Source organism: Homo sapiens, chromosome 17 (assembly GCF_000001405.40).
Source record: "Homo sapiens chromosome 17, GRCh38.p14 Primary Assembly".
Taxonomy (NCBI): domain Eukaryota; kingdom Metazoa; phylum Chordata; class Mammalia; order Primates; family Hominidae; genus Homo; species Homo sapiens.
This window is the reverse complement of record NC_000017.11, coordinates 50,678,521-50,692,690: the sequence shown is the minus strand read 5'-3', so window position 1 is coordinate 50,692,690 and position 14,170 is coordinate 50,678,521. Positions and strand designations below refer to the sequence as shown.

Here is a 14,170-nt window from a genome sequence, read left to right as displayed (position 1 = left end):
TCAGAGAGCATAGCAGAGACCTTTTCTTAGCACCAAGGAGAGGCAGGATAATTTGGGCATTTGTGCTTTCATACTTGCTTTATCACAAGGATGGAAGTCATCTTCCATATACTCATAAACATCCTGGGCAGAAACAGCCTGCCAAAAAAATGTGATTAACCTTTAACAAATGGTCCTGCAGCACAGGCTGACCCAGAGCATATAGAAAAAACCAGTCAAAGGATCCACCTCCATCCATATCTACTGCAAGCCATTTAGGGTTGGGGAGAAAACCACCATCACCCACAGCCACTCACATCATACCAAGACAAAGATAGAGGAAATGAGAGCGAGACAGAGGAGACCAGAACACTTAGGAACAAGGAGAAGAGATCCATTCCAAATAGAAGGCCGGTGCCAGCCAGGTGGACTCTGACCTGCAGAAAAGAAACTCTTTGTTGGCTTGCTCAAGAAAACAAATTTAATTCACCCCTCACATCTTGTCTGCCAACCTGGGAGTGTGGGTGGCTTCTCTCTGGGCAGGAGGTGGCCTCTCGGCTTCTTTGTGCTCACACATTCAGCTTTGGCTAGACTGAGGAAAATGAATGACTTGGAGGCCTCACTGGTTATAGGAACTGTCTGGAACAGACTTCGAAATGAGCAAGGAAGTAAAAGCATCATGCACTTCTCAGTCCCTAGAGAAACAGGCATAGAGGGCTGAGGGATGACATTAACGTGGAGGTGTTCACAGCAGCTTTCCCAAGAGGCCCCAGGTCAGATTTCAGGGCCTTTCTCACCGTTTTACAATATCTGCACAGCAGAGCAGGAGCTACTGGCAATTACCCAGGGAATTTTGGCTGTGAAGGCAATATTTGCAGCCAAGAGCTCTTGGGTCTGAAGTTCAGGTAACTACAACCATGTACATGTGTAGAAAGTCTTCCTCTTGGCCTCCTCCAAAGATCCTAATCCCCAAACCTTGTGAACAAGTGCAAAAAGACTACTGTGTATATACTGTTGACCATGTAGTTTTATTTCATCAGTACTCCCATTTTTAATGGATTCAGGCAGCACCCCAGAGTACAGGACTGAGTTCCTAGGGGTGGCCTGACCCAGCAGCTGTCTTCTGTTCCAGGAGGAAAAAGCTTTTTATTAAAAAACAGAAACGAAACTTTAGAAAATATGAAAAATCAGAGGGAGGACAGAGGTCATTTCATAAAATCGTTATTTGAAAACAGTGCAGTGTGCAAATAACACTCAGTTGGGAATCGGGAGACCGGGGACTAGTCTAACTGGCTCAAACTAGCTGTGACCTTAGGCGTGTCATTCACCACTTGGGGATCATTTCCTCATCTAAAGCATTCAGCACAGTTACCCTGTAAGGCACTTTACAGGTGCAAAATCTTAAGGTGCCCCCAGTGTTTGCTATCAAGTCCATTCTGCGGACATATTTGGTGTCATTTCCTTCCTGATGAAAACCAGGAAAGGCCAGGAGGAAATCTCAGGAATATATTTTAGGCAAGTCCAGCATCTCTGGCCATCCCGTAGAAGATGCCTCTAGCTGCAATGAGGTTGGCTGGAGAATCAAATTCAGCTACTACTCCTTTGTCCAGGACCAGGACCCTAGTCAAAAAAGAGAGAAGTGGTCAGGTTTCCATCAGCCCTGACCTGGTCACATCGTCTAATCCTGCTCTTCTGGGTACTTGCTCAGGCCCACAGTGACATGCCAACCCACCCAACACAGCCACCGCACCACATGTGCACACTTGCAAGGCTGGTTATTTTAGCCATTCTGTTAGTTCTGGCAAGTGAAGCAGTTTCTGGGATCAAACACAAGGTCCTATTCATCTCTGCTAGTCAGGGCTCTGAAAACCTTCCCTAATGAGCCCTTCCCCTTGCCGGGGTCACAGGACTTCAGCAGGCTGTGCGCAGGGAGCCATGGGCCTGTGCGCTGGGCTCTGTGCACATCCATCTGCTTTGTGTCGGCTCACAAAAGCACACGGCAGGAAACCAGCTGCAGCGAGGCTGACACTGGAATCTGGGGCTTGGGCTGCAAATCTGGTGGCGGCTGCTGCGGCTGCTGCTGCTGCTGCTGCTGCTCGGTGGGTCTCCAGCTCACACACAAACAGCTAGGCCTGAGCCCAGGGTTAGAATCTCCCACCAACCACTCACCGAGTGCACCTGGTACAAGGCCAGTGGGCTGGCTCCACCAGGGTACGGCAGGAGGGGAAGGGGCTCTCCCCAGCCTGGAGAAGTGCTCCTCCATGGGAGGGGGCTGACTGCATTCTGGTTCTCAGCCTACTGGGCTCCCAGATGTGTCCTGGGAAGGACTGTGTCTGTGACATCACTGCCTGGCCACCGCCCCCCCTCCCCTCCCGCCGATCCCAACCCTGACTCCAAAATCAAGGTCTTCAGCGGCTTTTGATTGCTCTTGGGTAAGGACTGAATGCTCTCCCATGGTCCTCAAAGTGCAGCAGAGTGCGGCCTGTTCTCCACCCCCATCTTGGTTCTACTGCCTCCCTCCCACGCACTCCAGCCTCCTGTACCCTCCTGCCTTGGGGCATGTGTTATATCCTTTGCCTGCAATTTTCAGCTCGCTCCCTACCTTATTGCCCCACCTCCATCCTCCAACTCTTACTCATTCTTTCAGGCCTGGCTGGTGCATCCCTTCCTTACAGGAGAAAGTGTCCTGGCCACCCTGTGTGGATAGCCTTTTTCTGGCCTGCACACACAGGCCTTTGCGTCCTTCCTATGGGCCCTATTTACACATGATTATTTGATTAATTTCTGCCTGTTCCACTAGAATGAATGAACTCCCAACCTCCAAGGTCCATCCAAGCCCCTCACCCTAGGGCTGCTGGTGAATGAAACAGTTTTGGTTAGGCCTGGGAACAGGTCCTCTCAGCCCAGCCCTGTCCCTCCTCCAAACCCAGGGCTCAGCACTTCCTGCCCACCCTCCCTTCTCCCAGTGGGGTCCTAAATGGGAGTGGGGGGTGAGGGTAGGAGAGGGATGGAACAGACAGAGGGTAGCATCAGGCATTCTCAGCTTGGCTCCCAAGACACTGCTGGCTGCATGGGGGCACTTCCAAGAGAGCAAGGTCTGACCCATTGCCCTGTCCATGGCACCCTTCCCACTCCATCGTCCTGCAAGTGTTTCTTGAGTGAGTGAAGGCCTGTTGGGGTATTCCCACTATACTCCTTCAAAGAAGACTTGTCTGAGCCTCCTGCCTCCTCCTCCCCTCTAGTTTCTAGGGAGCACAGCCTGCCAGGCCAGGGCCAGTTCACTCCCGTGAGGCTTCTGAGTCACCCAGCCCTCTCTCCTCGACCTCCAGCACCACACTTTGACATCTGGCACAATGAGGGAGTGGTCTGCCTCTCCAAGGAAGCCACAAGCTTCTGAGGGCATGGCCCCTCCCCTCATCCTTGGAGGGCCTAGCGCAAGAATTAGAGCAAGGGGCTGGGGAGGACACTGTCATTTCCCAGGATCACCTGCAGTTTAAATATCTTTCATTGACTTTTTTCTTTTTTTTGAGGCAGAGTCTCGCTCTGCACCCAGGCTAGAGTGCAGTGGCGCAAACTCTGCCTCCTGGGTTCAAGTGATTCTCCTGCCTCAGCCTCCTGAGCAGCTGGGACTACAGGTGCCTGCCACATGAGAGGCTAATTTTTGTATTTTTAGTAGAGACAGGGTTTCACCATGTTGGCCAGGCTGGTCTCTAACTTCTGACCTCAAATGATCTGCCTGCCTCGGCCTCCCAAAGTCCTGGGATTACAGGTGTGAGCCACCGCGTTGGCCACCATTTTTTTTTTTTTTTGAGACAACGTCTCACTCTGTCACTCAGACTGGAGTGTCCTGGCGTAATCTTGGCTCACTGCAATCTTTGCTTCCTGAGTTCAAGCAATTCTCTGTCAGCCTCCCGAGTAGCTGAGATTACAGGCATGCACCACCACATCCGGCAAATTTTTGTTTTTGTTTTGTTTTGTTTTGTTTTTAGTAGAGACAGGGTTTCTCCATGTTGGCCAGGCTGGTCTTGAACTCCTCACCTCAAGTCATCCGCCCTCCTTGGCCTCCCAAAGTGCTGAGATTACAGGTGTGAGCCACTGTGCCCAGCCCTCATTGACTACGACAATCCCACGAAGCATCATTTTCATTTGAAACAGGCTCAGAAAGGTTTTGCAAATTGCCCAGGGTCACACAGCAGCCTGGGACTCCAGACACAGTGCTCTCCCCACAAGGCTCAGCTCCTCATGGTGCTGTCACGGTCCAGCTGCCACTTGAGTTGCTTCTTCATCTGTGACCAGAGTGGCTGTGAGACACCAATAAGGTGAGGGACATGCAGGCACTCTGCCAGCAGGTTTCTTAGGAAGTGATGGGACTCAGCATGAAGCCTCCAGTTCCCCTTACATTGCCTCATGGAGGAGGCAGGATGCAAGTGGCCTGTGCACAAAGACAGTGCCTGTGGAGCCCAGTGTGCCCTTCCCCATGTGTTAGAAAATGTCATTGTTGAAGCTGGGCGCAGTGGCTCACGCCTGTAATCCCAGCACTTTGGGAGGCCGAGACAGGTGGATCACTTGAGGTCAGGAGTTCGAGACCAGCCTGGCCAACATGGTGAAACCGTCTCTACTAAAAATACAAAAATTAGCCGGATGTGGTGGTGCACGCCTGTAATCCCAGTACTTCGAGAGGCTGAGGCTGCAGTGAGCCACTGCACTCCAGCCTAGGCAACAGAGCAAAACTCTGTCTCAAAAAAAAAAAAGAAGAAGAAGAAGAAAAATGAAAATGTCATTGTATACCCCACCCCTGAGCCCAGGCCACCCCACTCTGGTCTGCCCCTTATCCAGATCTTGGGAAACTCTGCTCTGCCTGCCATGCCCTAGCAATCCCAGGAACATTGCCTTGTTCAGATAACCCTAATCTGCCCTGCCCATTCCTGATGCCCCAGGTGGCCCCACCAGGTTCCCCATTGCTCAGGTTTCCGTGTCCCACCTGGTGTAGTCCATGATAGTGTTAAGCCGGTGTGCGATGGTCAGGACAGTGCAGGTATCAAACTGGGTGCGGATGGTAGCCTGGATGAGGTTGTCAGTCTCCAGGTCGATGGCAGCTGTGGCCTCGTCTAAAACCAGGATGCGGCTCTTGCGGAGCAGGGCTCGGGCCAGGCACACGAGCTGCCTCTGGCCCACGCTGGGAGTGGAGAAGGCAGGCATTTCCAGCTGGGGGCCTCCCACCTGCCTCTGGGCCTCATTCCCAGACCTGTTTCACTCCTCAGTGGCCCAGGACTGGTTTTCTGTCTGACTTCTCCCATTTCTGCCACAGCCCAGCCCTCCAGAACGGAGCAGAGGTCTGGACACCATTGGGATAATGAGGGGCCTTGGGGAATGAGCCAGTGCTAAAAGGCATTGTGAAATCCCTGGTCTGCTCTTGGCACCCTTGGCCTCCTCTCTCGGTGCTTTCTTCCCCATCCTTGCTTTTCAGCTAGTGCCGTGATGTTTCTCTGCTTCACTCTATCAGCCATTTACACCTTAGTAAGAACATACTTGCATGGCTCTTCTTGGATATTTGCAAATAGGCCACACGATGCCATCTTGCTGAGCCTAATATCACACAATTCAGGCAGTCACCTCCCACCCCATAGGGAATACAGGCCAGGGCTCTGCTTCTGGGACAAGAAAATGGCAGGGCAGAGGAACACCCGGGGACTCTTTGTGTCTGGTCACTGAGGAGGTAAAGGAGGAGCAGGACACACGCCTTCAGCCTCCTGCTCTGGAAGCCAGAGCCAGCAGACAAAACGAGGCTGTGTTCCCAACCAGAGGCCACAGCATCCCCACATCCAAGGACAAATACCTCAGCCCTTCCCAAAGGCGTGAGTCACCACAGCCGGAGTAAAGTCCGGGCTCTCTCCCTGGCCCATTCCCGCAACTAATGAAGGTTTTGGCAGCAGAATAAGCCGCCGGATAGAACTCAGGGCTGATTTATGGTGGAACTGGCACAGGACACAGGTTATACTTAAAGTGGCTACAAGCTCAGTGAGGGAGGAGGGGAGCTGATTTCTGTCTCTGATCACGGCATGTGTCGGGGTGGGGCATGCTCTGGGGGAAGTGTTGAGAGCAAGCAGGTGAGAAGAATGGATCAAGCAAGAGACAGTCATGGGGCACAGGGTCTGGAGAGACCATGTTTGTCCGCCAGCCACCCCCACGTGGTTATGTAAGTGAGAGCCACTTAAGATGCATATTTAGTCTTAAGGGCTGCGTGGGTGGCAAGGGAGTCCCACCCTTGGGATAATGAGGGGCCTTGGGGAATGTTGTCCAGGTGAGGGAGGTGGCTGTGATACAGCAAGGAAAGGTTTGGGACAGAGCCAGAGTCCCCGCTCTGCCCCTTACCAGCTGAACTGCTGCGAGGAAATCATTTCAAACCGTGGAGGCTCGTTTCTGGCCCACAGGACCATGGTAAAGATTAAAGGAGAAAGTGGAGGCCAGAGTGCTTTGAATATTGTTAAGTGCTGGGCAAATGTAAAGTTTTTTTTCTTGAGACGAAGTCTCGCTCGGTCACCCAGGCTAGAGTGCAGTGGTGAGATCTTGGCTCACTGCAACCTCCGCCTCCAGGGTTCAAGCGATTCTCCTGCCTTGGCTTCTCGAATAGCTGGGATTACAGGCGCCCGCCATCACGCCTAGCTAATTTTTGTGTTTAGCAGAGACAGGGTTTCACCATGTTGGCCAGGCTGGTCTTGAACTCCTGCCCTCAAGTGATCCACCTGCCTTGGCCTCCTAAAGTGCTGGGATTACAGGCGTGAGCCACTGTGCCTGGCCTTGTTTTAGTTTTTGAGGTCTGGGGAGGGTGCATGAGTATGGACTGAATATAAAAATGAAAATAGGGAAGAGGAGGAGGAGGAGGAGAAGATGGAGGGAAGGGAGGAGGGGAAAAGCTGACATTTTACAGGAGCATCCAAGCGAAGCGCTTTTCCTGTCATCACACTGACCCTAACACTGCTCTGTCCAGGTGGTAGCCACTGGCCCCATGTGGCTATTAGCACTTGAAATGTGACTAGTCCAAATTGAGACATTCTGTAAATGTGAAATATACACTGGATTTCAAACTTGTAGGAAGAAACGCAAAATATTTCTAATACTTATATCAATGATGTGTTGAAATAATATTTTAGATATATTGGGCTAAATAAGTTATAGTATTACAGTTTATTTTGCTTGTTTTTCCTTTTTAAAAAGTGTGGCTATAAGAAAAAAACATTAGCTTCATATGCATGACTTGCTTTGTTTTTTATTGGGCAGCATAATGCAAAGAGGTTTGGACTGTTATTATCTGCCTTTTAGAGTGAAAGAAAAGTAGGCACAGAGAGGTTAAGCAACTAGCCCCAAATCACACAGCTAGCACAGGTATAGGTATCTCCAACCTTTAGACTCAGTAAGAGGTGACTACTGGCCCCTCCAGTGCATAGCCCAGTGGCTGAGGACATAAAATCTGGGGCTGTAAGAAAGCTCTGGAGGGGAGAGGGCTTCCTCAAAGGGTTTTGGAATCTCCCAGAGCTGGTTCAAATCCCAGACCTGCCTTCTCCCAGCTGTGCAACTTAGGTCAAGCCCTTTACCATCTCTGAGCCTCAGTTCCCTGACCGGTGAAGTGGGATCATGGACCACCGCTGGGGCTTGTGTGAGGAGTCGGCGGGGCAGTACACCATGCCTGGCACACGGAATATGCTCAATACGAAAGGACAGCCCTGTGCACATCCGGGCTGGCCTCATCTCTGTGTCATTGGTGTCAGGTTTCCCAGCACCCGCCAGGGTTTCCCAGGGAGGGTTGCAGTTCCTGACCTCTGCACTCCCAGTGTTTACCTGAGATTCTCCCCGCCCTCTGAGCACTGGAAGTCCAGGCCTGCCGGCTGGGAGCTCACAAACGTGTGCAGGTGGGACAGCTCCAAAGCCCACCAAATGTCCTCCTCTGAGTAGCTGCCGAAGGGGTCCAGGTTCATGCGCAGGGTCCCCGAGAACAGGATGGGGTCCTGGGGATACAACGTGGCCTCAGAGGGAGGCAGCTTAGGCCCTATGAGGAGCCATAGGCCCCAGGTCCAGGGAAGAAGAGAGGGATTAAGGTGGCAGCATTCCCACTCTGTTTCCAGCTCCCCAGAGGACACAATGGCCAAAGAGATAGAAAATTGCCTGTAGGGGAGTGATAAACCTCAGCTTTGCCAATCACGAAGACCTCTGTTGAAGCAGGAACCAGAGCCACTAATCTGACTCCAAAGTGTCCACTCGGCAGAAACAAAAAATACCCCGGAGGAGACAGAAAAAGTGAAATGTAATTAGAGCTGCGCAAAAAGACCAGGGCAGAATGTCTCGGGGGAAGGGGTTCTTGGAGGGGTCCTTCCCCATGTGCTGGCCCAGGAGGTCAAAGGACAGGGCCTGACTGGGCAGGGTAAGTCTGAGCTTTCCAGATCCATGACGGGTGGCTCACTGATGGCTCTGCTTCCTGCTGTCTGTCCCTCCCCACCTGCCCAAGCCTCTGAGACTGGGGTCCCAGTCTCCATCCTAAAGCTACAGAACAAGGTGGGGCCTGCCTCCAGGGCCGTTGGTGAGTGTGGCCAGCCCATGCCAGGCTCCTACCTGCGGGATGATGGTCAGCTGAGAGCGCAGGTCATGGAGGCCGATGTCTGCCACATTGAGGCCATCAATGCGGATTTCACCCTTTGCCGCCTCCAGGATGCGGAACAGGCAAAGGGTCATGGAAGACTTGCCAGCCCCAGTGCGGCCCACGATCCCCACCTGGGCGGAGAAGGGAAGGGGCTCTGAGGGGGAAGCTGAGAGGTCAAAGGCGCATCTCCAGGACTCTCCTGGAGGCCGAACAAACATGTGGCTGGAGCACTTGTGCTCTCAAAAGACCCAAGCTCCCCACAAGGGCTGTGGCCATGTCTGCAGGCATGAACACACACGCAGGCCCGCCTACCCCACGCGTACCTTCTCGCCACCGTGCACATGCAGACTCAGGTCTCTCAGCACCAGGTCTAGGCCCGGCCGGTAGCGCACAGAATAATTCCGGAACTCCACCTCCCCACGTGGGGGCCAACCTTCGGGAGGGCGGCTGCCTTCCACCACCCAGGGCGCCTGGCAGGAGGGGCAGATGGGGTCACATCAGCTGCCCAGTGAAGCCCTCTTTCACCTTTCGGTCTCTCTCCCCCAAGGCCCCTCAATCCTCCCCAACTATGGTCCCTGGGAGGGTCCTTGGCACCCCTGTGGCTCAGCCTTGTGTTCAATGACTCCTTTATCCCTCTGACTTTATTCCCCACAGACCTACTCCAACACTCCCCTGTCCTTCCCCTCCCAGTCTCCCTGCTTGCCCATGTTCCTTTTTTTTTTTTTTTTTAATTTTTGAGAGACAGGGTCTCAATCATGGCTCATTGCAGCCTTGAACTCCTGGGTTCCAGCGATTCTCCTCCCTCAGCCTCCCTAGTAGCTAGGACTACAACAGGCACATGCCACCATGCCTGGCTAACTTGTTTTGTTCTGTGACAAGTTCTTGTTCTGTCACTCAGGCTGGAGTGCAGTGGTGCAATCATAGCTCAATGCAACCTTGAATTCCTGGGCTCAAGCCATCCTCCTGCCTCAGCCTCCTGATTAGCTAGGACTACAGGCCTGTGTCACCACACCTGGCTAATTTTTTAAAGAAAAACTCTGAAGAGACTGTGTCTCGCTGTGTTGACCAGGCTGGTCTCGAACTCCTAGCCTCCAGGGATCCTCCTGCCTAGGAGGATTCCCAAAGTCCTGGGAATACAGGTGTGAGCCACTGTGCCACACCTTATATTCCTTGAAGTGCCCTCCCTGCCTGCCCTAACTCCCCCTCTCATTACCTTTACCCATTCATTGTTACTGGGTGGCAGCCCAGTGCCAGGCAGTGGGGACACAATGGTACCCCATTGAAACAGTCCTCACCCTCGTGAGATTTATGTTCTAGTAGAGGGAGGCATATAATCAACAGATAAGCAAATCTATACAACGCAAGAAGTGATGAGTGCTGGGGCCAAGAAGTGCTTAGTGTTGCTGCTTTATACAGGGTGGTCAGGGAAGGCTTCCTGGAGGAGGCAGACTTTAGTAAAGACCCGAAGGAGGTGAGGGAACAAGCCAAGTGGATATCTGGAGGGAGGGCATGCCAGGCAGAGGGAACAGCAGGCATAAATGGCTCTAGGTGTGTTCTGGAGCACACTGGCAAAGGCAAGAGGTAAGAGGCTGAGGTAATGGTGGCTCCATCATGTAGGGCCTTGCAGGCCATTTTAAGGACTTTTTTTTTTTTTAACTCTGATTAAGATGCAAAGCCATTAGAGGGCTGTACACAGAGGAATGACGTGATTTGATTTTTTTTTTTTTTTTTTTTAAATCTCTTGGCAGCTACAAGCAGAATAGACTGGCAGGGCATAAGATGATGGTGGCTTTGAGATAGGATTGGCTACATAATTTGGGAGGCCCAGTGCAAAATGAAAACCTGAGGCTTCTTGTTGAAGAATGATGGAGAATGTCAAGGCACTGACGGCAGAGCATTACTCTAAACGCGCAGTTCTTCCGGGAGTGGGGACGCTGTGACTATTCCTGTGGAGCCAGCCCTGCTTCGAGGCAGGAGAAACCACGCGGCCAGAGGTGAAAAAGCAGAGCAGCAGGCACAGATTGGTCTCTCAAGGAGGCGTCAGAGAACGGGCCGTGGGGTTGAGGGCAGACATTTATAGGATACAGAGACAGGAGCATGGGTATCCATGCAGGAACTGGGCTGCTAGACATGAAGCAGGGGAACTGGAAGCTCCCAGACAGTGAGGGGTGAGGGGCCAGAGGGTGATGCCTGGGGAAGCCAGGCTGGGGTCAGGCAGGTGGACTGGCGGGTGCAATGCAGGCCACGGAATCCACGAGGACTCCAAGAAGAAGGGAGAGGTCATTTTATTGGGACGTTGCTAAGAGGTTGAATTAGACGAGAACAGAAAAGCGTCCCCTGGATTTGGAACCAGGAAGGTCACTGGTGAGCTGTCTCCGTGGAGCGAGGGCCAGAAAGAGGACTGCAGGAGGCAGATGACATCAAGGCTGATGAGGAAGCGGATGCAGCTTGTAGAGACCATACTTTAAACCATGCTTCATGACAGAGGAGAGCAGAGAAATGGGGCAGTGGAGTGCAGGGGGGAGGGTTTGCGTGTGTGTCTGGAATGGAAGATGTGATGGAATATTTTTGCATGTGGATGGGAAGCGTCCAACAGAGGGAGCAAGAATGACAGGAGATGGAGGGCGGGACTGAGGAAGCCAGGTCCTCAAGCGGCCATGAGAAGAAATGGAGGGGCTGGGCTTTGAAACAGAAAGGGATGATTCCTGCTAAAAGTGAAAAGGAGACAACGGTGAAGGAGACACAGGCGGGTTTAAAGACTGAGAGGCAGGAAGGTTGAGGGAGTTCACGTCTTAGAACCTACTTTTTATGGAGGTGTCAGGCAAGGTCGATGGCTGAGCAGGAGGGAGATGTGGGGTTTGAGGACAGAGATTATTCAACAGAATTCTTTCTGAACGTGAGAACATGGGCTTCTTGGGGAAGCAAAGCAGGAACATGCAGCCGTGGTGTGTGGTTATAAACTTGTCAACTCAGTGATTTTTCTCCTGCAAGCTTTTTTTTTTTTTAGACAGAGTCTCACTCTGTTATCCAGGCTGGGGTGCAGTGGCGCAATCTCGGCTCACTGCAACCTCCACCGCCTGGGTTCAAGCGATTCTCCTGCCTTGGACTCCCAAGTAGCTGGGAATACAGGTGTGCACCACCACGCCCAGCTATTTTTTTGTATTTTTAGTAGAGATGGGGTTTCACCATGTTGGCCAGGCTGGTTTTGAACTCCCGACCTCAAGAGATCCACCCACCTTGGCCTCCCAAAGTGCTGGGATTACAGGCATGAGTCACTGTGCCCCGCCTCCTGCAAGGTTTTAAGTGCTCAGTGCAGGCATGAAGAAGGCAGATTGGTGGGCTCAGCTGGGGTGGGTTTTGGAGGTGAGTACAACTGAGAGAGAAGAAAGAGAAGGGCAAGGCAGGTGAGAGCGTTTGTGTTGGTGGAGCATAGACTCTAGGCTGGCCGGGGAGGGAGGTGAAGGCAGAGAAGCTGATGGACAGAGACACAAAGGGGGGTCATGGGATTGGGAGTCCCAGTGAAGGCAGACTGCTGTGACAGTGGGGGACTTGGAGCATGAGAGCGAGCAGGATAGGAGCGTGGGCCAAAGATGGGATGCTTGACACTGATGCTGCAGCTTCTGGGCATGAAGAGGGCTAAGGTGTGACCATGAGAGGGGGCGGTGGAGAAAAGTCTGGAACCCCCAGTAGGGAACAACTCCTTTTCCCCAACAAAGGGCATGCTGCCCCACCTCCACTCCTTTGCCCAGGCTGGTCTCTTTGGCTGGAATGCTCACCTTCCCACTGCCCACCCCACCATCTTACTTAGTCTATCAAAGCCTGTCCATCCTTCTCATCTAAGCTCGTCTCCCCTGGTCACCCCAGCTGAAGGATCTCCCTCATCTGCCCTCTCCAGGTGCACCACGCCAGAGATCTGGTCATCCACTGCAAAGCCCTGCAATAGGTCTTACCCCTCCCACCAAATCAGAATCACCTAAGGGCAAACACCGTCTTGCTCAACTCTGATCTCTCTACACCTCCTAGCATAGAGCATTGGTTGATGCTCAGTAAGGAGTGAATGGGTAAATGAATGAAGAGCCCCATACGTGGCAGGCCCTGATGTTGAGGGAGAGAGAGCCACCAAGCTTTCTTCCCCAGCTACTTCAGATTCCCCCTGTCCCGGGCTCATGCCAGTACCCACCTCTGTCTCTGTCTTGGAGTACTCCTTGACCCTCTCCACAGCCACGATGTTAGATTCCAAATCTGACATCATTCGTATCATCCAGTTCAGAGCAAATGTCACCTGGCCAAAGGGACTGGGTTATACGTATGGCGATCTCCCCTCCCCACCGTAATGGCTTTGGGAGGAGTTCAGACTCCTGGATCATGTGCCCATCCATGGGATCCTAGCCCATGGATGACCCAGGTGGGCCTGGATCAAGCCCACAGGCATGCCAGCTGGGGCTGTAATCACGAATGACTCCCTTGGGCAGTGACAGTGCAGACTTAACCAAGGACCACCTCGCCTTGGTTTCTGTTTCTCCAACTTTAATATGTATAAGACTTCCCAGAGAATCTTGTTAAAATGCAACGCCGGATTCTGTAGTCTGAGGTGGGACTTGGAACCTGAGATTCTTCATTTCTAACAAGCTCCCAGAGGATGGTGATGCAACTGGCCCATGGGCCACACTTTGCGTACCAAGGAGTCTTGATCAAAGTGCAGAGTCCTGAGCCCCATCCTAGGTCTACTGAATCAAAATGTACATTTTAACAAGTAGATTCATGTGCACACTGACCTTTGTGAAAATTGACCTTTCTGGATTGTTTTTTGTTTGCCAACGCGTTCAAGGTTTGAGCCACCTGAGGTATTAACAATGTGATCTGCTTTACAAAAATTCCGTTTGCAGTTAGGTGACTCTTTGACAGTACAAGCTGGCATCAGGATGACCTGCCTGACCTGCAGACCAGGCTTCAGTCACCTCGTCTGTGTACGTTCTCTGCAAGCATGTGAACGTGAGCGAGCGGTATGCCAGCCCTACACTGTCCTGACCTGTCACATGAGCCTACAACTTGCCCAGAGACAAGAGAAATTCTGTTTGTCCTTTGGGGCTAAGCTCCAAGATCATTTCTACAACACCCCAAAGCAAGAAAACTCCTCTGGACTTTTTTTTTTTCTCTCTTGAGATGGAGTCTCGCTCTGTCACCCAGGCTGGAGTGCAGTGGCGTGATCTTGGCTCACTGCAACCTCTGCCTCCCAGGTTCAAGCTATTCTCCTGCCTCAGCCTCCTGAGTAGCTGGGATTACAGATGCCCGCCACCACGGCTGGCTAATTTTTGTATTTAAGTAGAGATAGGGTTTCACCATGTTGGCCAGGCTGTTCTGGAGCTCCTGGCCTCAGGTGATCCGCCCACCTCCGCCTCCCAAAGTGCTGGGATTAGGTGTGAGCCACTGCACCCAGTCCCTCTTCTGGGCTTTTAAAACATTTTGTTTCTCCAGCCACAAAGACCTGCTCAGCCTGCAGCACAATCTCCTGCTGATGGGGGTCTCTCCAGTTGAACTGTGAGGTGTCAGGCAAGGTCG

General features: G+C 52.3%; 1 protein-coding gene across 1 annotated transcript in view, besides 2 other annotated features; it reads right to left on the bottom strand.

Annotated features, from left to right (window-relative positions):
- Nucleotides 1-437: 437 nt before the first annotated feature.
- The window catches only part of ABCC3 (ATP binding cassette subfamily C member 3), a 57,373-nt gene continuing 43,640 nt past the window's right edge, over nt 438-14,170 (bottom strand). Inside the window, exons 26-31 of the mRNA NM_003786.4 lie at nt 12,792-12,893; nt 8,935-9,081; nt 8,584-8,742; nt 7,816-7,982; nt 4,961-5,155; nt 438-1,599 (exon numbers count right to left, since the gene is read on the bottom strand). Coding sequence (NP_003777.2) covers nt 1,491-1,599; nt 4,961-5,155; nt 7,816-7,982; nt 8,584-8,742; nt 8,935-9,081; nt 12,792-12,893 — 879 coding nt within the window. The 3' untranslated portion in view covers nt 438-1,490. The remainder of the gene's footprint in view (nt 1,600-4,960; nt 5,156-7,815; nt 7,983-8,583; nt 8,743-8,934; nt 9,082-12,791; nt 12,894-14,170) is intronic.
- Nucleotides 5,049-5,343: a silencer, noted in NCBI's record as "tiled region #2031; K562 Repressive non-DNase unmatched - State 7:EnhWF". NCBI's record gives its function as "represses a minimal TATA promoter and a strong SV40 promoter by Sharpr-MPRA in K562 cells {active_cell/tissue: K562}" and the evidence as "EXISTENCE:reporter gene assay evidence [ECO:0000049][PMID:27701403]".
- Nucleotides 7,557-8,043: an enhancer, noted in NCBI's record as "ABCC3 (B) eExon fragment used in the reporter construct". NCBI's record gives its function as "activates a pGL4.23 vector minimal promoter by reporter assays in HepG2 cells and mouse liver" and the evidence as "EXISTENCE:reporter gene assay evidence [ECO:0000049][PMID:25340400]".